The 22,228-nt window shown below is 41.6% G+C and overlaps 1 protein-coding gene and 1 long non-coding RNA gene across 2 annotated transcripts in view, besides 2 other annotated features; one reads left to right on the forward strand and one right to left on the reverse strand.

Annotated features, from left to right (window-relative positions):
• The window catches only part of BDNF (brain derived neurotrophic factor), a 67,138-nt gene extending 66,378 nt beyond the window's left edge, over positions 1–760 (reverse strand). The window contains exon 1 of the mRNA NM_170731.5: positions 142–760. Within this exon, the coding sequence (NP_733927.1) occupies positions 142–144 (3 nt within the window). The 5' untranslated portion in view covers positions 145–760. The remainder of the gene's footprint in view (positions 1–141) is intronic.
• Positions 710–1,218: an enhancer, noted in NCBI's record as "H3K4me1 hESC enhancer chr11:27743527-27744035 (GRCh37/hg19 assembly coordinates)". NCBI's record gives its function as "activates a minimal SCP1, AML or CMV promoter by ChIP-STARR-seq in primed H9 embryonic stem cells {active_cell/tissue: H9 hESC(primed)}" and the evidence as "EXISTENCE:reporter gene assay evidence [ECO:0000049][PMID:30033119]".
• On the forward strand, positions 972–9,567 carry LOC124902652 (uncharacterized). Its single transcript, XR_007062633.1, has 2 exons — positions 972–1,216; positions 4,508–9,567. It is a non-coding gene; the product is annotated as an uncharacterized LOC124902652 (long non-coding RNA).
• Positions 19,248–19,939: an enhancer, noted in NCBI's record as "OCT4-NANOG hESC enhancer chr11:27762065-27762756 (GRCh37/hg19 assembly coordinates)". NCBI's record gives its function as "activates a minimal SCP1, AML or CMV promoter by ChIP-STARR-seq in primed H9 embryonic stem cells {active_cell/tissue: H9 hESC(primed)}" and the evidence as "EXISTENCE:reporter gene assay evidence [ECO:0000049][PMID:30033119]".

The raw sequence follows: 22,228 nt of genomic DNA on the forward strand, positions 1-22,228 counted from the left end.
ACTGTGTAAAAACCCGATTCCCCTGGCCTGAGTAGCTGCTGTTCTTTGGCGTGTGAAGTGCTAGGAAGAGCCGTGATATGCCCGTTGTTAAGCAACATGTCAAGATTTTTCAATTATAATGCAGGTTTTATTGCTACTCACCATTGTGCCTTTGCTGTCCTGGAGACTCAAGTGTCTTAAAATCTCGTCTCCCCAACAGATGCTGGAAGGTAATGTGTCTTGTTTGAAGTCATCATGTGAGAAGTTCGGCTTTGCTCAGTGGATCGCCCACCACTTGGTGTGACTTATGAATCTAATAACCCTTTGCAATATCCGCAAGCTTAAACTCTCAACCACCTTGGCGACTACAGAAGACAAAGCAACTGGCATCGATGTCGAAAAACCTATAGATTTACGCAAACGCCCTCACTCCGAGAGACACGTTTCCTTTTGAGTTCTTACGTGATTCTAATGAATGAGCGAGGTTACCAATGATTGCCCAACTGCCCTGCTATGTAGCAGGTGTTTCCTAGGGCTGCCTTCTAACCGCCCGTTACTGGGTCCTGGCACTGAAAGTTCCCAGAGAAAGTGAGGAGTTTCAGGGTACCCCTGTAAAAAAAAAAACTCAGCCTGCACACCGCTCCCTTGCCCACTACGCAGGTCACACCTGGGGCTCCGGCGAAGCTGAATTCGGCTCGGGAGATTTCCCTGTCGCCAGGTAAGAAAACCTTCGCCTTGTCAGGCTAGGGCGGGAAGACCGCTGGGGAACTTGTTGCTTATCAGCGCCGGCAGACTACCGCTTTAATAATAATACCAGAAAAGCGCAGCAGGGAGGGGGTGGGGGGCGGCAACGGCGACGACTAACCTCGCTGTTTACGTGACCGACTCACTGTGACTCTCTGGGTAAAAAAAGGAAACTTCTTAGAAAAGTTCGTGCCCCTCCCCCTCCCCCATCATGACTAAGGGTCTCCAGCCGATGAGGTCGTGAGTGATGATCAAATGGGGACTGGGGGGAGGGGGGCGAGTAAGTGACTTGTCCTTGGGAACATCTGCATGCGTCGAAGCGCGAACCAGCCCAACAACTTTCCCTTTTCCTCTTAGGTACTGATGACTAGGCGAGAGGCACCAAGGCGAGCCACTAGTTGCCCACAGGAACCTGTGTAAGCCGAGCTCTCGAGCGGCTGAGTTGAATGAAGTTATGACTGCGTTTGCTCTAATGGGTTATGGCTTCCCAAATGTGAGTTAACAGCCCCGGTGCGCAGCTAGGTCGGAAGGCGAGCCGCGGAGAGCGGAGCCGCGGGCCAAGGCAGGGACGGGAGGGGAGGCGGCAGGTTGGGCGCTCCGCTGCTGCTCGGTGCTGCTTCCCCGGAGCCGCTTCCTCATCCTGCGGGGGCTGCCCCGCCGCCGGGGTGCCGGGGTGAGCGCGGCGGGAGCCAGGGCTGGGGTGGCGAACCTCGGAGGGGGCTCTCCCAGGAAGCCCTGCGGTTAGCGCCCGCGCTTCCCCACCAGTGGCTGCGCAAGCTGGGAAGCGAAGAGGTCACGTGTTGGCGGAAAGTAACTTGGAGGCGAAAGGATGAACTTTGAGAAGAGGAAAAAAAGCACAATGAAACAAACTACCCCCTTGGAGTGTCTAATAGAGGGGGAGGCGGGAGGGGGGGCGGAGGGGCGCCGCTCTCCGCGGGAGATGTGGGGACGACTCCGGAAATCTCGGGAAATAGGCAATAACTCGAGCTTTGGCAACGTCCCCCAGCCTAGGGAGGCGCTAACGCAAGGTATCTTTCCACTGAAGCTGCCCTTTGCCTACCCTCAGCCATCGCTAGCACAGCAGAGCAGAAGAACCAGGGATGAATGTAGACCAGTTGTTATGGAGATGTCCGTCGCTCTGAGGAGCGCTAGTGCCCTGGGAAGTCCCCAGACGCATTTCAGGTTTCGTCGTTTTGGCACTGACACCATGATTTTACTCGCTCTGAGTTCCCACCAAGGGGAGCCCACCAACGGCGTCACAGGCCCTGGCCGTGGCGCTATTGACTGCAGGGATGAGGCACAGCGATGCTGCAGAAGATGGTGGATAGCTCTTAAGTTTCAGACCACCCAGCCCTTTCCAATTTCCAGTTTCTTTATTCCAGTCAAAAGTGCTTTGTTTGAATATCATTCTTGCTTGCTTATGTAGAAAAATCTTACTTACACGATAGGATGATTAGAAGCAACAGAACATAAGCATTCAGTGGCTGCTTCAAGGTCCTCCCTCTCCCATCCCAGAAATGCCTTCCTTATGGAAAATAAGTTTTACTTCCCAATTATGTGCATGGACCTCTGTTCATTGCAGCCCCCATTGGTACTGGGTTATTATTATTAGCAGTAAGTCTAGTGTTGAGTTCATGCTTCTCTAGAAATGTTTCCAAAGTCAAACAGGCTTATCTTAGGCTCCAGATAAAATATCTGTATACAAAAGCTTCCTGGTTCTCATTAGGAGTAGTTCTAGATTTGCCAGGCTCCTGGAGACCTGAGATGGGTCCTTATGAAAGGATTTCAGAAACCCTCACAGTCATCAACACAACAGTTCTCGCCAAATGAAAGGACTGCTCAAATTGCCCACAAACTGCCACTTTTTGTCCATCCATGAATTAGCCAGCAGATGCTGCCCTAAGACTGGGACAGCTGGTACATACCATTCTCAGAGGTCTTGGGGTACAGGCTTTGTGGACAAAACTGGTTTTTTGAGAATGGAATCCATAATGCTGTTAATAACTTTCCTTGCCTACTGACAAATTCAATGACTAGCACAGATCTGCAATCTTGAAAAGACATAAGGAGATGACCACTGTATATGAACATATTATTCCCCATTGCCATCAATGTGATATATTTTTCTGACTCTTTTGTCAACAGTTTGTGGTCTGTATAGAAACTATCAGCTACTCCTCTGCTGGATCTTTATTCTGAAAATTATATCTTACAGTGGGATACCCTGAATTGTTGGTGTAGGTGCCTGAGGATTCAGAACATGAATGACTGATTAGTTTGAAATCATTTAGACACATGATTGTACTGAAGATATTTCCCAAGAAATATGTTTAACCAGTGCTCTTATTTCTTGGAACCATTACTAAAACCTCCAACTCAGGGACCAAAATGATGGACAAGAGTTGCTAAATAATAAGGGTTGATATAGGGAGCTAGGGAGAGTGGTGAAGATATGGTGTTTGCCATATATCTATATATACCTATTCCCACTTTGGATTTCTCAGTGATCTGATAGACAATTCTCTTCTCTTGGTGCACTATCAACTCTCCAACCTTTTATCTCCATCCACTCACTTACATAATTTTTTTCCATCTGCAGAAATCCAGTGTCTAATGTAAGTAAAGATTGCCATAATTTCATTTGTTAAGATAGATGCCAAGCACTGTATGTGTCACAATTTTCATCTCAGTAGCACTTATTCCTGGGGTTATCTTATTTTTTCATACAACCCCAATCAGCTGTGATATGAATATCACACTTCTCTGGCTCATTTGACCCCATTTATATTTAGTAATGGCAAGAACATTTCAGACTGAATAGTGAACAAATCTTATTCCTTAAGGATCACTACCTAACAACATGACCAAACTTAAAGCAAAATGTATTAATACAACCTAGAAGGAAGGATTTTTGCTTTCAAAATATGGGTATTGCACTCCTTATAGATGAGCTGTTTAATATTCACAGTTTTCTACCTATGCCACAGTTATAAAGCTTGTTCTTTGCCCACATCTTTATGAAGATAGGTTCAAAAATTAATACGAGGCTCATCAGTATTAGGAGGCACAAAAACTTCACTCAGTAGATGTGTAGTCTTGGAATTGGTGGGAGATGGGTAACAAAGCAGGAGTCTACAAAGTCAGAAATGAAAGAGAACTCCTTTTTCTTAGAAAACTAAGAAATAATTGGAGTACCTCTTAAGACAAAGTCCACTGTCTTTATTTCTAAAAGGAAATTCAGTAAGTCACTTTTAATAGGATGGTTTGTGTATTCCTTACTATATATCAAGGAAGACAAAGATGAGATAGTACTTCCATTCTTTTCTCCCAACTTGTCTTTCCAAATCTATTTGGTTGTAGTTAATTTCCAGGCTCTCCATCTCACCTGGAGTTGGATAGATTATTTCCATCCTTCCTTCCCACTCTTACTTCTCCTTCCTTTTCAGTACTTATTCTGTGCCAGGGACTCTGATGGGACTGGTGATCCACATGTTAACAATTCTCTACCTAAAGTATCTCAGAAGTTAAAGAGTGCTTGGTTAATAATAGCTGAGAGGTCAACAGTGCCTTCCCCTTCATTACCTCAGGATCACTTGTTACAATCAATGCAGAAGAGTAGTCACAGAGAAGCTCCTGATGGTGATATAATTGCTATCTTGGAGCCTAAAAAACAAAAAACAGGTAGCAAAAGCCTTCTGTTTATGATATAAGAAGAGCTTCTGACCAGGTAGGAAGAAAGATTGGCTCTCTTAGTCACTTCCTGATCTCTAATGGTTCTCCACAGGTAATAGAAGGAGAGGCAAAGAATCACGACACACAATTTGGAAAGCCTTCTGAAAGCAAGAATAGGCAATGATTGCCAAGAACCTGGTATTGAGCTCATATTTAAAAAGAACTCAAAGAATCCTCAATCTACCAAACCTAGTTATAAAGGAAACAATCAAAACTTCAAAAAGAAGTAAGCAAGAGAAAGCCTTGGGAAAGTCATGATTTAGTTTGCAATAACCTCTGTGCATTTCTGAGCCTGACAAGCAAGCATGAGACAGAAGATCTGGACATGACTTAACTCAATTTCAGAACACCAGACAACCCTATAATGAGGCTGAAGCAAGACCACATGGAATACTGAGGAAGAACTGAATGACTCTTTCTAAACCATCTTACAGAAAAGAGATGAATAAGAGGAAGTATGGGTAGCAAGTAAGAGAGAAGTGACATTGTTAATATGAAAAGTTGACAGGGAGATTAAGATGGGTCAAGAGCATGTCAGGTCAGGACTTGCAAGATGTACTTAACTAAATGTAAGTTCATATTAGGAATTGGATAAAATGAGAAATAAAAACTCCAAGGAGTCACAAAACTTAGGATCATGGAAAGGCAAGTGAAAATTAGTAAAAAGAGCCAATTTTATATCATGATAGGGCCTACCAAGGTGTGCTTGACATCTAATCTGCCTAGAACATCTGGAAGGAAACTTTCACAGATGCTAAACTGTGCTTCTTATAATTTAATGTGCACATGAATCTCCTGGGCAACTCTTTAGAAAGCAGATTCTAAGTCTGGGGACAGCATCAACAGTTGGCATTTTCAACAGATTCCCAGGTGATATGAAGTTGTGCCACATTTTGCACAGCAAAATACTAAAGCTTGCTGCCCCAGCCTATGGTTTCATTTGCATTATGGCTTCATTAATACACTTCATTAGTAACTGAAGTGAATGCTATATAACAAAAAATAATTCAAGGAAAAGACCTGTTCCTTTAACTCTAATGTTACACAAACCACAGACTCTAATTTGCTCCTGAACCCATTAATTCTAGAAAGTTCTTAAGCACAGTGGACATCAACCTCTTATTATCAGTAACATTGGCTATAGTTTGAACATTTATCATTTTGTACCTATTGGAGTAAAAGAAAAGAGAATCCATTTGGAATATATTGGGCACATTGCACAATGGAAAAGTCAGGGAAAATTATTCTAGTCATGTAAAGAGGATTGGTTAGGTCATATTCTGAGTCCTGAGCTCATTCTGGGTTTCTTTCTATAAATAGGATATTTTGGAACTAGAGAAAGCACAGCAGAAGGCAACCAGAATGACAGAGGGATTTGGGGAATTTGCTTCTGCTGAAAGGTTAAGGAAACTAGGTCTGTTTTCTTTTGTAAGGAGAGAAAAGATGGTACCTCACTGAGGTGATATCATTCTAAAAGTAGTGGAAGTAATAGGATGAGACAAGAGTGCCTTATGGAAACAAGAGTAGAAGGATTCTGGCAAGGAATGAAGGCCAGAAGAATGGCTCTAGCTTTTCTAAAGGCCCTCAGTTAGCAGTGTTCCTACTGGCAGAACTCCACTACTCGCAAAAGGAGGGGTAAACACTAGATTGGGATCAGGAAATAAGTGAGAGAGAGAAAATGAGGAGGCAGAGGGGATCTTATGTCGTTTTTCATTGAGAACATTTTCAAACAGGCATTTATTAATCCTATAGAAGCCCTGCACTCAAGGCATATGGTGAACTTTACCAACATTCCCCAAGCTCAAGGGTTCTGCTTCTGTAACACATCACATCTCTGCTTCCTCTTCATCCCAAAATGGCATTTTGTCCATCAATTCAGCAAAGAAATGTAAATAGTTATAATATGCAGGGTTTTCCCTCTAAATTACTTTTTCCTCTTCATCAATCCTGGAAAACATTCTCTTTTTATTTTATTTATTTATTTTTAGAGACAGGGTCTTGCTGTGTCACCCAGGCTAAAGTTCAGTGGCTCGATCTTGGCTCACTGCAACCTCTGCTTCCTGAGCTCCAACAATTCTCCCACCTCAACCTCCCGAGTAGCTGGGAACACAGGTGCATGCCACTACACCCGGATCATTTTTACATTTTTTGTAGAGACAGGGTTTCGCCGTGTTGCCCAGTCTGGTCTTGAACTCTGGCACTCAAATGATCAGCCTGCCTCAGCCTCTCAAACTGCTGGGATTACAGGCATGAGCCACTGTGCCAGGGCTGATTCTCTTTTCAGTTGGTAGAAAAGCACTGTCCATGACTTCGCATATGAGACCTCAACATCTTCATTTGATCCCTGAATCTCAGAGATGAAAGGACTTGCCGACCATCCTGGGCTACCCCATAATTTTACAGCAGGGGAATATAAAGCTCATAGAGTTGATAATCATACAGATTTTACGTGTATGGTACTGGAGCATATATGCTTTCGGGAAACTGAAAATTCACCAGTGAGCTATGTGGAAAATGTCAATTATTCCATGAGTTAGCTCACTACTCTGGTCCTCTGTCAAAATTGATATTCAGCTCTGTGTCTTTTTACTTGGACAGCCTTTGAGGGGAGTTGCTCTATGTCCACTGCTTTAGGTAGTTGACCCAAACTTCCCCAAAATGTAGGAAAGTTGGTTAACTAACTTTAGGTGGGTTAAGCAACTTTTCCATAGTCACACTGCTTGTAAGTAGTAGAGGAGGAATTAAAATTCAGGATTTTCAGATCTAAAGTTCATGCTTTTAAGCACTGGACCATATTTACCCCTCTTGCTTTCTTCCTTTCTGAATACATACATTTTTGCTTTTGTTGCAGTTTGCTTGTGTTACAGTATTGGGACAAGCCAGTCTCACTTAACTATACTGCTTCCCTCTCTCCCAATACTTTGACTGCTATGTAATAGAAACTTAATATAATTTTCCTATATGAATTAGAATCAAACTGCTTCTGTTTATCTCTGGGAAGACTTGTTTTCTAACTTTATCCAGCACAGCAGCATAGATTGCAATGCAAGGAGAGACTGAAGAACAATGGTGATCACCAATTGCCGTATGTTCTGGGGAGGCTTAAACCACTTCTGGAGCCTCCTTTTCCCCCACCTCCATCCTAGAAGGTAGCAGATGCATCCTTGAAGAGGCCTCGACAGAACCTAGGCCAATTCGCTTCTAAGATGCAGGTTATTCTTGAAATCTACAAGCAGCAAATCGAAGATGGGGTATACACTGCAAATTAGGGGGCACTAATGCGATGACTCAAAGTCCCAGAATGGGCCTGAGTGTGCAGATCACTGTGGAGATGTTCCCAAAGTCTTGACAGATCTATGTTAAGGCAGAAACAAGGACATCATATTCTCCAATATTACTGTGATTCAGAATCTAAATAGTGACCTGAATGCCAGAAATGTCAGCCAAGAAATGGGAAAAGGAATGGGCAGTCCAGAGATCTGGGCCTGTTGAGAAGCCTATGAACCCAGTGACTTGGAATAAAGACAATTGGGAGAAGCCTGAAATTTCAAGAGAAAAAGAGGAATCTCTGGCCCTAATGCTGGGCCTTTCTTGGTGTTCCCTGTCTCTGTACTCTATTTCCTACCTCCTGTAAGACAGGACATCTCTTGGAATCATCTGATGTGTTGGAAGGGGGCTGGGAGGGAAAGAGCATTGATGCTGACTGTGTTACAAGCTGGATCGTCTGACGCTGGCAAACCATTTTCTTTCTCTGGGCCTCAGTTTTTCCACTTATATAGTGGCCTTAGATTTGACATTTGTTGTGGGTTGAATTGTGTCCTCTCTGAATTAATATATTGAAGTCTCAACCTCCAGTACCTCAGAAAGTAACCGTATTGGGAGCTGGGTCTTTAAAGAGGTGATTAACTTAAAATGAGGCATTAGGGTGGGGCTCCAATCCAATATACCTAATTTTTTTATAAGAAGAGAGAAACTGGCCAGGCACAGTGGCTCACGCCTGTAATCCCAGCACTTTGGGATGCCGAGGCGGGCGGATCACCTGAGGTCGGGAGTTCGAGACCAGCCTGACCAACATGGAGAAACTCCATCTCTACTAAAAATACAAAATTAGCTGGGCGTGGTGGCACATGCCTGTAATCCCAGCTACTTGGGAGGCTGAGGCAGGAGAATTGCTTGAGGTTGCGGTGAGCCGAGATTGTGCCATTGTACTCCAGCCTGGGCAACGAGAGTAAAACTCTGTCTCAAAAAAAAAAAAGTAGAAGAAGAGAGAGACACCAGGGATGCACACGCACAGAGGAAAGACCATGTGAGGACACAGCAAGAGGACATCCATCTGCAAGCCAAGAAGAGAGGCCTCAGAAAAAATCAACCTGGTTGGCACCTTGATCTTGGACTTCCAGTCTCCAGAACTGTGAGAAAGTGAGTTTCTGTTATTGACATCAAGTGTGTGGCTTTTTGTTTTGGCAGCTACAGCAAACAAATACAGATTTCAAATGGCCCAATTATCTGCCTTCCAATTTCTGTGAAACTTCCTTCAACAAGTTTAGTATTGGGAGGGATTGCAGTTGACTGCAAATTCTTTGATAGTTCTTTCATCAAGAAATGGGGTTGTATCTGCTCCTCCCCTGCTTTCGGGTGGGCTCAGTGACTGCTTTGACCAATAGAATAAGGCAAAAGTTACACTTCTAGTTTCCTGGTTCCAAGCCTTAGGAGACTCTTCACTTACTCTTCCTGTGTCATGGAATGCCTGCTCTTGGAGCCCTGGACCACCATGTAAAAAGTCCAACTACCCTGCTGGAGATGCAATGTGAAGCAGTGATGAGATTACATGGAGAGAGTGAAAGGCCCAACTGAGCCCAGCCTTCCACTTTGCCCTGCTGAGATGCTGGGCATGTGAGTACAACTCACTTGGACACTCCAGACCAGACCAGCCACCAGCTGAAGGTCACTAAGTGACTCCAGTCAGTGCCATGTGAAATGAAAGAATTGCCTAGCCAAGACCTGCCAGAATTCTTATTCATCAGCTATAATATGGTTGTTGAGTAAGCCACTAAGTTTTGTTACAGTGCTTGTTAACGTGTTACAATGATGTAATAAAAGTTTCTGAACTGATTTACTAGACATTTGTGACCACATTAATTCTGTACAGGCTCATTCTTACCAGGTCTTGTTTTGTGCTCACGGAGAAAGTAAGGTGCCATTATGAAGGGATTGGGGTTTGGACTGAGATTTGGATTCAGGTAAGCTCTGCCATTAACAAGTCACTTGGTTTCTTCAGACAAATAATTTGACATCTCTGAGTCTCACTTTCCTTATCTGTAAAATAGGGATAATCACACCTGCTGTGTGGAGTTTTGTGAGGACTTAATGTGTTAATTAGATATTTTATTGCTAGGCAGATAGCATCCTATAAATGGTAACCACTCTCACTGCAATAGTGATGCCACTGCTGCTGCTGATAATCATGATGAAACCAGGTCATCTTGCCTATGACTGCCAGTGGAGTTGGATGAAATGCCCCTTCCAAACAAGCAGCCCTCCTCGGTCTGCCAGAAGGCTAAAATCTCACCATTGGCTTTTTCAAGTTATGGCATTTCAGTTTAAGGACTCGATATCCTTTAAATTTCCAGTTACACCTGGCAAGGTTAACACAGGCAAAAACATTACAAACTGGAAACAGAACAGCAAAGTGAAAAAAAGCATGTGATTTAAAAAATTTTAGAACTAGTTTTGGTTACAAGTCCTTCCAGATCTAAACTAACAGTGGATTAAATGTGTTAGAAATTTGACTTCCATGTAAATTACAAGTAGGTCTGGAGCCATATGATGTTCTATAGTGTCAGAGACCCAAGCTCTTTCTGTCTTCTGTCTATCTTCTGCTGTATGTAGTTTTATTCTGCATGTCGTCTCATGGTATAACATGACTGCTGCTTCTTCACTATCAGGAAAGAAGACTGGTTGGGAAGGATGCACCCTATTACTTTAAGGACACTTCTCAGAAGTTGGACAAATTGCTCTTGCTTATACATTGTTGCCCAAAACTTAGTCATAAGGCCAAATCTAGCTCCTACATAGGGTGGGAAATGTGAACTTGACATGCATGTGCCTAGTACGTTAATTCTATTATCAAGGAAGAAGAGATGCTTACTGGGGAAAAGAAGTAATCTTTGTGACAGTTAACAATTTCTTGAGCACTATTTCAAGTCAGGAGTGGTGGTAGGCAATTCAGGTACTTTGCAGCCCTGTGAGCCTTTTATTTTATTATTTTATTTTATTTTATTTTATTTTATTTTATTTTATTTTATTTTATTTTATTTTAGATGGAGTTTCGCTCTTGTTGCACAGGCTGGAGTGCAAAGGCACGATCTCGGCTCATTGCAGCCTTCGCCTCCCAGGTTCAAGTGATTCTCCTCCCTCAGCCTCCTGAGTAGCTGGGATTACAGGCACCAACCACCACGCCCGACTAATTTTTGTATTTTTAGTAGACACGGGGTTTTGCCATATTGGCCAGGCTGGTCTCAAACTCCTAGCCTCAGGTGATCCACCTAGCTTGGCCTCCCAAAGTGTTGGGATTACAGGCGTGAACCACCGCACCTGGCCTGTGAGCTTATTATTATCATCCCTATATAAGAGAGAAAGAAAGTGAAACTGAGAAATGATTTTCATAAAGTCACACAGGTAGTTAGTGCCTGGGCTAGGATTGGATCCAGGTCTATGTGATCCAAAATGCATACTCGTTTCTCTAAAACGACCCTAGTTTCAGTCCTGGCTTGACGACTTTACTGACTATGTGACATTGAGCCAGTCATCTGCCCAAGCAAAGGCAGCTTTACCGTGAAGCTAATGAAACATCTCACTTGCACAGACTCCTGAAGAGATAGGAGTGTCCAGGAGCTGCAGAGTATTGAGGGTGGGGTGGAGGGTTAGAAGCCAGGGAGCATTCAGGAAGTATTTCTATGTAAGCCTTTCTTGCAGATTGACAAAGAGACTGAAGAAGAAAGAGACGTAACCTCTAAGTCTACAACAATTTTTTGTGATTTCTTTTCTTGTCTTTTTTTTTTTTCTTTTTGAGACTTGGTCTAGCTCTGTCACCCAGGTTAGAGTGCAGTGGCAAGATCATGGCTCACTGCAGCTTCAACCTCCCAAGGCTCAAGTGATCCTCCCACCTCAGCCTCCCAAGTATCTGGGTCTATTGGAACACACCACAACACCTGGCTAATTGTGTTTTTTTTTTTTTTTTTTATTTTTTGTAGAGATGGGGGTCTCACCATGTTGCCCAGGCTAATCTCGAACTCCTAGGCTCAAGTGATCCTCCCGACTAGGCTCCAAAATTGTTAGGATTACAGGTGTGAGCCACCACGTTTGGCCTCTTTTCTTATTCTAAATAAATATTTGCGAGATTTGTGTTTGGACCTACAGTTGTATCTGTAACAGTGTATTCTTTTCTTAAAGAGGCTCCCCCCAAATTGTATATACTTCAGCTCTCACAAAACCTGGATCCACCCCTACTGCCAAGCCAAAATTCAGCAAATTTTGAAAGAATGAATTTGAGACTTATCTTAAATTTTGACTAAGATTTAGGTCTCAGAAATGGCAGAGCAGAGACCCTGACCAAGAGGACAAACCCAGAAGGAAGCTATGGTGGGGTTCTGGAAACACATAAAGACAGACCTCCCCCAGGGATCTCTCCCAGTTTCCTCCAGAGAGGGACTCTTTCCTTCTGGCATATTCCAATCGCCCTGTAAGTGTTCTTTAGCTCATTATACATTCTGCCTTCTGAAAAATTACTAATGTCCATATCAATCCCTCCACCCAGAGTAGCAATTGTCAGAAAGCAGAAACCAGGTATCCTTCATCTCTGTACCAAGACTTCAGCAAGGGGCCTGTTGCAAACCAGGAACCAATAAGTAGTTGTTGAATTGAATTGAATTGAGGAACCCATGGATTTAGGAACATAAAAGAGTGCACAAAAGCAAAGTTACTAACTCATTTCTTTATTGCATGATGTTTTCCAGATCTCAGTTTTCTTCTGTGAAATGAAGGCATTAAATCTATTGATCCCTAGAAGGGCAATTGTGAACCTGACAGTAGTGAACTAATTAACATCTCTGAACTCTATATTCTCAGAGTGCAGGTTTTATGCCTTGAATTGAGGTGAAATCCAATCTGGAAGCCTCATGTTCATTAAAAAAGCCTTCAGCATTCCTTGGAAGTGTCAGATGTTGGCCTGACCAAATTTCAGCAGGGATAATTGCATTCTGACAACTTTGAGTTCCCCTGAACTCTTCAATTGAATAAGGTAAGCTTCGCTTCCCATCCCAAATTATTTTACACTGCTGTCCTTGGCCTTTAAACAGAGATGTCACCTCATTTGTAAGCTGTTTTATTCTTTCTTATAAAGGGTTATGTACCTTTGCTGAGGTTCAATAATTTTTAACACTTAAGGCATCGTATAATTTCACATAATTCCTTTGGATGAAAGGCTGTTCCTGCAAACTATCTCCAAACTATTTTAGGGCCTTATAATTTGTTCTCCAGTGCTGACGACAGTTACTTTGAATGATATGAAAACTCCTTCATAGTGAATGATCTCAGTGTTTATAGGAGGAGAATGAAATGAGATAAAAATTCAAATACTCTTTCTCATAGGTACACCATCTTGGCTCTAAAAGTTTTCAAGGGCCACACGTGTTATCTAGTCAGTAGAATAAATACAGATTCCAGTGGGTTGTACACTGGAGACTCAAACATCCCCAACCTGACTTGATATAACTTTCAGTCTAATAAAGGAATGAGAACCTGTGTGAAAGGTATTGGAAAGTGAGGCAGCTCCATAAATACTTGTGGGATCACAATGACATTTATTTGTTTATTTTCTGCCTTTGCTATGGAATGCAGTAACAGAACACTAATGTGCCATGACTTGCCCTCATACCCATTTACAGCAAGAAAGCTCTGTAAAATCATTTGTTTAATATTAGGGAGGTAATTTAACCCATTTTACTGGGCTTTATTTTATTAGAAGCTGCTATAATAGGTTTGCATCTAATAATTTTACTTTGGTTATAATAATAACATCCTTTTCCTCATAATGATGAAATTTTTTCCACTCCTTTGATGTCTGTGCCAATTGCTATCTATTGTAATATTTAACTTCAGAATTAAAATGAATTCCTTCCTTCATCTGTAGCTCTTTAAAAAGCCAGGTTGTGAATACAATGACAGCAAATCAAACCCAAACCTGAGGTTTGCTTAACAGCTGAATGACCCTGCTGTTTTAAATAGACGGTTCATTCCTTCCATCACCAAATGTTTACTGAGTACTTCCTTTGGCCAAATACAGGTGTTAAAAAACTTGCTATACCAATATGACCCTCTTACTTTGCTGCTTCTTGACATGGATAGTGTATACCTTGGAAAAAAGTAACAATTTCATAAATTATATCTGGAGTTAAAATAAATAAAAATGGGACGTGGAGGAAAGGAAAGGAAAGGAAGAAAGGTATGGTCATGAATTAGAAAGTAAAGTTCCTGTAGGAGGTCTTCTTAACTATTTTTGGACTTCTGGAATCTCTTTTCTAAAAAACATATGCACTTTCCAAATTTTGCTTAGAATTTTGGCATATTTACAGACTCACAGAAGCCCCTCCAAGCAACCCAGCTCCATAACAGTACATTTGGATGAAGTTGAGGAAGCATTCAAGTGGCCACACAAAGCACGCAATGTGCCCCTTGAAAGATTTCCCATGTGGTTATTGACCTTGTGCCAGAGTTTTATGCATTGCTCAGCCATGTCACTCCAGACAGGGAGCTTCCTGTTATGACCTTAAGTACATTATTATTATTATTATAGTTAGTGAAAATTCTCCTAATCTTGTGACCATTTTATTTATAGTTAGGGAGCCTTCACTGGAGTATGAGATGAAGCAGGACAAGAGAAAGGAGTGGTTTTTCAAGAAAAAGCATTTGAAAGTAAAAAAAACAAATAAAATTAAAGCACCCACTGGGAATGAATGGGAAGAATATGGAAATTAAAATTACTATATGACTCTCCCCTCCACTTGATGTGGGAAAAAATAATATTGATTTTCCTCTTCTACCTTAATGGAAAGAAATCTGATTGTCTTTTAGATCAGCTTTTTAAAGAACATCTAATCCTTAATAGTTAAACAAATCATAGAAGAGTATTTTTAAAAGTGAGGCATTTCAATTTAGCAAGGACTTTCCTTAGAACCCCTAAAATTTTTTTAAAATGCAATGGATATCCACACAATGCAAAGAGAAATACTGCATCAGCAAAAGGGCCATAGGTATGGTGTTTGTTAAAAAATAAAGTAGGCATATGTACTACTAAGCAGACAATTTTGAGCCTCATTGTTTTCTAGCTCATTTTTTTCCTTTGAGGGAATTCTGGGCTTAATTTTTTTTTTTTTTTAATCAGTTGCTGACCACCAAGTGCCTTGGTGTCATCCTGGCTCCTCTCTTCCTCTCACACCCCATGTCCAATCCATCAACAAACCCTGCCAGCCCTCTATCTTTGAACCAACAACTTTCTACCCCCATACTCACTTGGTCCTTGCTGTCATTACCTTTCCTTCTTTTTCTCTCTCTTTTTTTTTTTTTTTTTTTTGACAGGGTCTCATTCTATCACCCAGGCTGGAGTGCAGTGGCATGATCTCAGCTCACTGCAACCTCTGCTTCCGAGTTCAAGCGATCCTCGTGCCTCAGCCTTCCAGGTCACTGGGGCTACTGGCCTGTGTCACCATGCCTGGATAATTTTTTATTTTTAGTAGAGATGGGGTTTCACCATGTTGCCCAGGCTGGTCTTGAACTCCTGGCCTCAAGTGATCAGCCCACCTCAGTCTTTCAGTGCTAGGATTGCAAGCGTGAGCCACTGCGCCAGCCGTTAGCTTTCACCTGAGTTATTTTATCAGCTCTCCATCAGCCTACCTGCTCCCACCCTGGCCCATTTTCAGTAGTGTGTCTACAGTATCCCAAAGCACAGCACTCAGATCATTTCCGAACAGAAGCCAGGTCAAGTGGCTCCTCTGTTCAAACTCTCCAGGGGCTTCCAACCTCATTTGGCACAAAGCTGGCATTCTTATAAGACTTACAGCTTGGTTCTTATGGGATCTGTGAGGCTCTGCATTATTTTCCTCCTCCTCAAGGCTCCCACTACTTCTCTGACTATATCTCCTTCAACTCTCACCATCGCTCATTTTGTTCCAACCACACTGACTGTCTTACAATTCTTTAATCATGTCCCTCTTCAGTACCTATGAGTTCCCTTCTCAGCCTGCTAGAGACTTGCTTCTGACAACTACATGTCTCATTTTCTTACTCTCTCACATTTTTGGTTAAAGGTCACTTTGTCAGAGAAGTCTTCTTTGACCACCTCAAATGCACCTTATCCCCACTGTCTGTCCTCTCCTCTTGCCCTGCACCCCTTGGCATTTCCTAGAATGGTATTCTACTTTATTTTCTTCTAAAGTATTTATCAATGATTGACATTTTGTATCTTTGTTTATTGTTTGAATCACTCTATCAGACTACAAGCCCTGTGAAGGCAGGGACTTCATCTATTTTGTTCCCTGTTATGTATTAATCTCTTGGAACGTATCTTGTGTCTAGTTGGTACCCCATAAATGCTTGCAGAGTGACTGATGAATGAATGAATGAGTGAGTGAATAAATGAGTAGAGATTGACTATGAACTAGACACTGCTATGGTTAGAGCAGTGAAAAAGACAGACCTGGCTACTGGCTTTATGATGCTCACACTCTACCAGTTATTGGCATTCTTATTTTCTCTAAAATGTAGCTCAAATTCCCTTTACAATCAGTTGAAAACAGAATGAAGAAAAAGTGGGGGAAAGATACAGTGGTACAGTATGATACTGGTTAAGGAAAGAGGAGGGTCAAGATTTTAATGTACAATGTGTTACAGAGTTTCAACACTTTCTGTACTATATTAGTGTCATAAATACTGGAGTTCATTTAGGAAGGCTTCAGATACATCCTGTTCCAAAATTTGCCCTGTGGACTCTCTTTATAATACCCATCAAGGGAAGGAAGATAGAAGTCAAGCCAAACTGCTTGACGATGTTTTATCTCACAGGCATTCTTCACAAATGCTTCCTTTACCCAACATTATTCTTAGAGCACATTCTGCATGGAAAACTCACACCTTATTACTTGCTTTGTTTCACTGAATACCTACTTGCTTTTTCTGGCTTATTCATATGTCCAGTGTTTCATGTGCAGCAAAACCCAGGAGCATCACAGGCTACCTGAATTCTCAGGGGCAAGTTGGAAATTTTGAAAATTATTTTCCATGTCCCCATAGAAAATTCTTGAGCCATCCTTGACCTTCTTCTTCTGCCTTTTTTTTTTTTTTTTTTTTTTTGACAAGGTCTGGCTCTGTTGCCTAGGCTGTAGTGAAGTGGCACGATCTCGGCTCACTGCAAACTCTGCCTCCTAGGTTTAAGTAATTCTCATGCCTCAGCCTCCCAAGTAGCTGGCATTACAGCTGTGCACCACCAAGCCCCGCTAATTTTTGTGTTTTTAGTAGAGATGGGGTTTCGCCATGTTGGCCAAGCTGGTCTCAAACTCCTGACCTCAGGTGATCTGCCCACCTCAGCCTCCCAAAGTGCTGAGATTACAGGTGTGAGCCACTGCACTTGGCTCTGCATAACTTTTTAAAGCTGGTTTAGTGATAATGGATTTTCCTTTTTTTTTTTTTGAGACAGGTTCTCGCTCTGTCATCCAGGCTGGAGTGCAGTGGCACGATATCGGCTCACTGCAAACTCTGCCTCCTGGCTTCAAGTGATTCTCGTGCCTCAGCCTCCCAAGTAGCTGGGACTACAGGCACATGCCACCATGCCCAGCTAATTTTTGTATTTTTAGTAGAGACAGGGTTTCACCATGTCGGCCAGGCTAGTTTTGAACTCCTGACCTCAGGTGATCTGCCTACCTGGGCCTCCTAAAGTGTTGGGATTACAGGCATGAGCCACCGTGGCCAGCTGGATTTTCCCTTCTTAATCTATGGACAGTTCTCCAGCCACTTTGAACTGTGAAGAAGCCATTGTAGGAGCCTTGCTAAGTAGAGGGGCAAAGGTAAGCTTCAGGATCCTTTAAAGACTCATTGACATTTTAGGGATGGCTTAGGACAGTAATTGATTATTTTGCTACTGTGGAAATGGGCCTTTTTATTTCCAGCTGTATGGCTCAAGGAGTCAGAAAATAGACCATTTATTTATTTATTTATTTGTTTATTAGCTAGTGGGTTTTTCCTACAATCATAGAATACTGAGTAGATTTATTTTGCTTCTTGAGATTAAATTCATAATAGAGGATGGTCAGAATTTGCCTGGGGATTTTATGGGTATAAATTAAAATGACAATAGTTGTTATAATATAGGAAGTGCAGGAGTGCCACACTGTCCTCCTTCAGTGCTAGTTTTCCATCTGGTTCCACCAAATAATATCTTGGCTAGATATGAAGGACTTCTATTTGAACCACTATCACCCATCTAAGTTGCCTGGACCAATGAGTGTTCTGGTCACTGAGGGGAATTGCAGAATGGGTTGGATAGTTCTGAACAAAGTCTTGAGGGAAAAAATGGGGATCACTTTCAGACAATCATTGGGTGATCCTTGGATGACATGTTGGCTGCTGTCATTGGGTGGACCTCACTAGCTGATGAGAAGAAAGCTAATATAGCTGCTCAAGTCAGGTGATGCACAGGGGTCCAGGAATGGAAAGGGAACTATATGTGGGCACTGAGCCAGTTCTCTGCTGGTGACTGCTTTGGGCTGACAACAAATGGTACTTTGGCCACCTTCAGCTGTCTCTCCCTATTCTGTTCGAATCCTGTCTGTCTCAACAGTCATCCTCTCTTCTCAGTCCTGGAATATTTACTTGGTGTGGAGAAAGAAAATAAAATGTAATCATTTATTCTTATAAATATTTTGTTGAGTAACACTTAGATCACAGTTCTTGAAACTCGAGAGCCAATCAGTTACTTTCTTCCTTAGTTCCATGCTCACAACCTTCTCTAAGGCAAAGGGGGAATTTACTGCAGCTGCCAGGGCTGAGGAAAGTGTCACAGAGTCTATGTGAAGAAATGAAATGGGGAGTTGAGGTGGAAGTGGTGGAGGTGGAGTGGGGAAGACAGTGGATCACAGTTCAAAATATTCTCTTGCCCTACTACCATTTCATTCCTGGTTAGGATGCTCTATGCCAAACCGTGTATCGGGCACCTTATTTAACTTTTATAACAACTCTGTGGAAAATATATTGTTTTCTGATTTAATAAATGAGGCAAAGGAAACCCAGAGAGGTTAAGTAATGTATACAAGATCATACAACCAGTAGGCAGCAGACCTGGTGTTCAAAGTCAGGGCTTTCTAATTCCCAGATCTGTTTGCATGACCACTCATTCACTAGCCATATTGTGAGCCCAGAGAGATGCATTTTGAGAAAAAAAAAATGCCATGTCCTCTCCCTTACTTTATTTCTATATTTCTAACACCAGTTTAAATGGAGGTCTCATACAAATTGGTGCTGTGGGGTGACCATTCTTTTCGGCTTAGACCTGGACTATGTGGTAAGGGTACACATATAGCTGGAATGTTAAGAGGTCAAGCTTCTTTTTGCTATCTGAGCCATTACAGAGGTGTCAGCTTTTCTTTTATCTTCTGGGGGTATCTCCTATGGAAGTCCTAAGGACCTGCAGGTACCCAGCCTGCATCTAGCACTGTCCTTCCTTAGAAAGCGGTGGAAAACAGCAAGCGATTGTTTTCTTCCCTTTCACTCACAAGTCTCTTTGCTTTCACCTGGGACTCCTTCTAGCAAACTCTATTCTTCCATTTTCCTCTGGATGGCTACTCTGGCCCATTGCCAGCTCTGCAGGAAAACAAGAAGCCTTCCTTTCTGGGATAAGAGATTTCTCATTCCCCACTGCAGCTCCCTCAGTAGATAAAGATTTTTGGCACGTTTTCAAGGATGTTGCAGCTGAATTATCCACCTCTGTGCTTCTTCCATTTGCTTTTATGACATTTCTTCCGTTCTCCATTGTTTCTTGCAACTTTTCTTGATGACAAAAGATACCCCCCATTTACATTTGAAAAAGGGTAACGACTGCTGTTACAAAGCCAGAACAATACCCACTGAAGCTGAGCTTACTCAGTTGAATAGTCGTTTAATATTTTAATAAAATAAAGACCTCTTTTAGTACCTGCTGCTGCGTCTGTGAAGTTTATGATGCATCTTTTATATTCATTTCCACTTTTAAATTATAATATTTTCCCTCTCACCCTAGAACAGCTTAATACACTGCAGGGAACACTTTCCCTTGATGATGAAAACAATATTTTTAAGGTAAGTGGGGCTAATAGTTTAAGTATAACCAGAGGACTCATTAAAGAATGTGTTCAATGTCCCAGTACCTGGAATCTCACTTCTAAACCACTACTATTTGTGCTTCAGTTTAAAATACTGTTGATTGATAATTTCTGGAGGGAAATAAAGCATTTGTGTAAGGTTAATAAAAATCAGTTAGTAACTCCTGCTAGCTAACCCCTACAAAGCTTCAAATGATGACATTATCTTGGTGAAGTTAGATGATCCAGAATCTGAGCTTTGAGACTTACAGCCTCTGAAACCCGATTTGTCATTACATAGAGAGAAGTATTATTCTCTCAAAGTCAGATTTATATTAACTGGGCATATCAAGATTGTTATATAAATTGCCAATATTAGTTGATCAATTTTTAAAAAGAAATGTAGTTATCATTTGCCCTGGAATAATTGTGTAGCAGGAATCAGCACATTCTTTCCCTCCGTGAAGACCTACAGGTGAAACCAAATTATAAGCAGAAGATTGTAGCATGATCATAGAATCTGTATAAAGAGATTAAATTTATTCCAATGTCAGGCTAAGATTACCTGACACAGTGGTGATTCTCCACTCTGGCTATGTCTCTGGGACTATTGGAGTCTACAAAATTTTCAGAAGCTTGGGATCCATTTCAGACCTACGATTAGGGCAAGACATTTGTATTTGTTTTCTCTTAAAAACCATATGTGATTCTCTTGGTTATCAGGGTTGAGATAATTGGTCTGAAGCATTTGTCTCCACTACAGGAATGATTTTGCAATGGTGCCATATTATTCAAAGTCCACTGGGCAAGATTCTCTCCCTCTTGGATAGTATGTAGAATCACAGCACCAACATTTGCTTTGTTTGTTTGTTTGTTTGTTGTCACAGGGACAATCAGTTCTCTCTTTAGATAGGTTTTTGCATCTAGACAAATGCATACTCTGGCCAGATTCCTTTCAATTTTTGGTAACTTTCTCCATCTCTGCTCTCATCCGGCTTGCCTGGAACATACAATTAAATCTTCAGAAAATATTGTTTCTTTCTTTGCAAGCTTTGAGAGACCCCTGTTATTTTAATCCCACGTTCCACTTTGTCAACCAAGAAAAATCAGTGGGCAAAAGATATTTTTCCAGCTAAGTAAGTTTATGCAAAGATAAGATATTCCACGGAAGTATGTACTTGTTTTCATAAGGACCACATCCAGAGGCTTTCGGCCCTTCCCCATGTTGTAGCTAGATCATCTTTCTTTTAAACATAAGGTTTTTTTTGTTTGTTTTTTGTTTTGTCTAAACTCTGAAAACTACTTCCAAGGCAGCAGGAAGTACGATCTGTGCACTGCTTACTTCTCTCATCGCATCCCTCTCCCTCATCTCCTCAGTCATGCTTCAGCCATTTTTGAACTTTGTTCAGTTCCTTGAATGTGCAATTCTTACATTTTCTCTGCCTAGAACACTATCATCCTCTTCTTCATCCATTAGCTCTTCTCTTCCTTTGGTTCCTCAATGTCACTTGCTCTGTGAGGCCTTCCCTGATTTCCTCACTTGATTTAGAAATCTTAACCATGTACTCTCATGGTACCCTTGATCTCCATGGTCAAAACTCATATCATGTTTCTTAAAATTGCTCAGTGACTTGCCATTGCTTTTAGGATAAAGTCCAAATTTAGCCTACTATTTAATCAACAGTCCACCTCTTGGGGTCTTATTCCTCTGTCCTCTGGACCATTCTTTCTCAAGGATGCTTTATTTTAGCCATTCGTGGTTACTTCTTAGCCATCTATTAAGTATCTTTATTATTGGGTCGATACATTAGAAAGATATCTTGGCTTTTTATGTTGGATCCATATTGCGATTAGAATTAAGCATATGTTCTTTGCAAATCATTATAGACAAAAGAGTAGAGAGGTGTGATGTTTTCAAGGTGGATTTAGTTAAAAAATTTTAAGATATTCTCTTTCGTTACTACTTCTGAGTTTAATTTCTGGAGGCAACCACTCTTGTTAATCACTGCGCCCATGTGCTACCCATGTCTATGTCTTTACTGAATTGAATAAGGGGGAAAGAATCTTTTTGTAAGCATAGAGTCACAGTCAATCACATTTCCCAGGCTTAATTGAGAGGAAGCTAGCATATCAATGTGTTTGCTCTAGGCCGATCCCAGATTTTCCAGTAGAGTTAGAATTTCATGTAATTTTATATTTTCTACATTGGCATTGTGTTAAATGCGTCCCTAAATGGAAATTCATTTTTAGAACTTGTAAAGGTATAAGTAAATTCACAAACTTTTCAAAAACCCTTTGTCAAGCTATGTAACTATAAATAACTGTATCTCTCTGGTTTGGCAAATCCTGTGGCTGTGTATATAGAAGCTCCATCTTTCTCCAATAGTCAT

Source organism: Homo sapiens, chromosome 11 (assembly GCF_000001405.40).
Source record: "Homo sapiens chromosome 11, GRCh38.p14 Primary Assembly".
Classification (NCBI taxonomy): domain Eukaryota; kingdom Metazoa; phylum Chordata; class Mammalia; order Primates; family Hominidae; genus Homo; species Homo sapiens.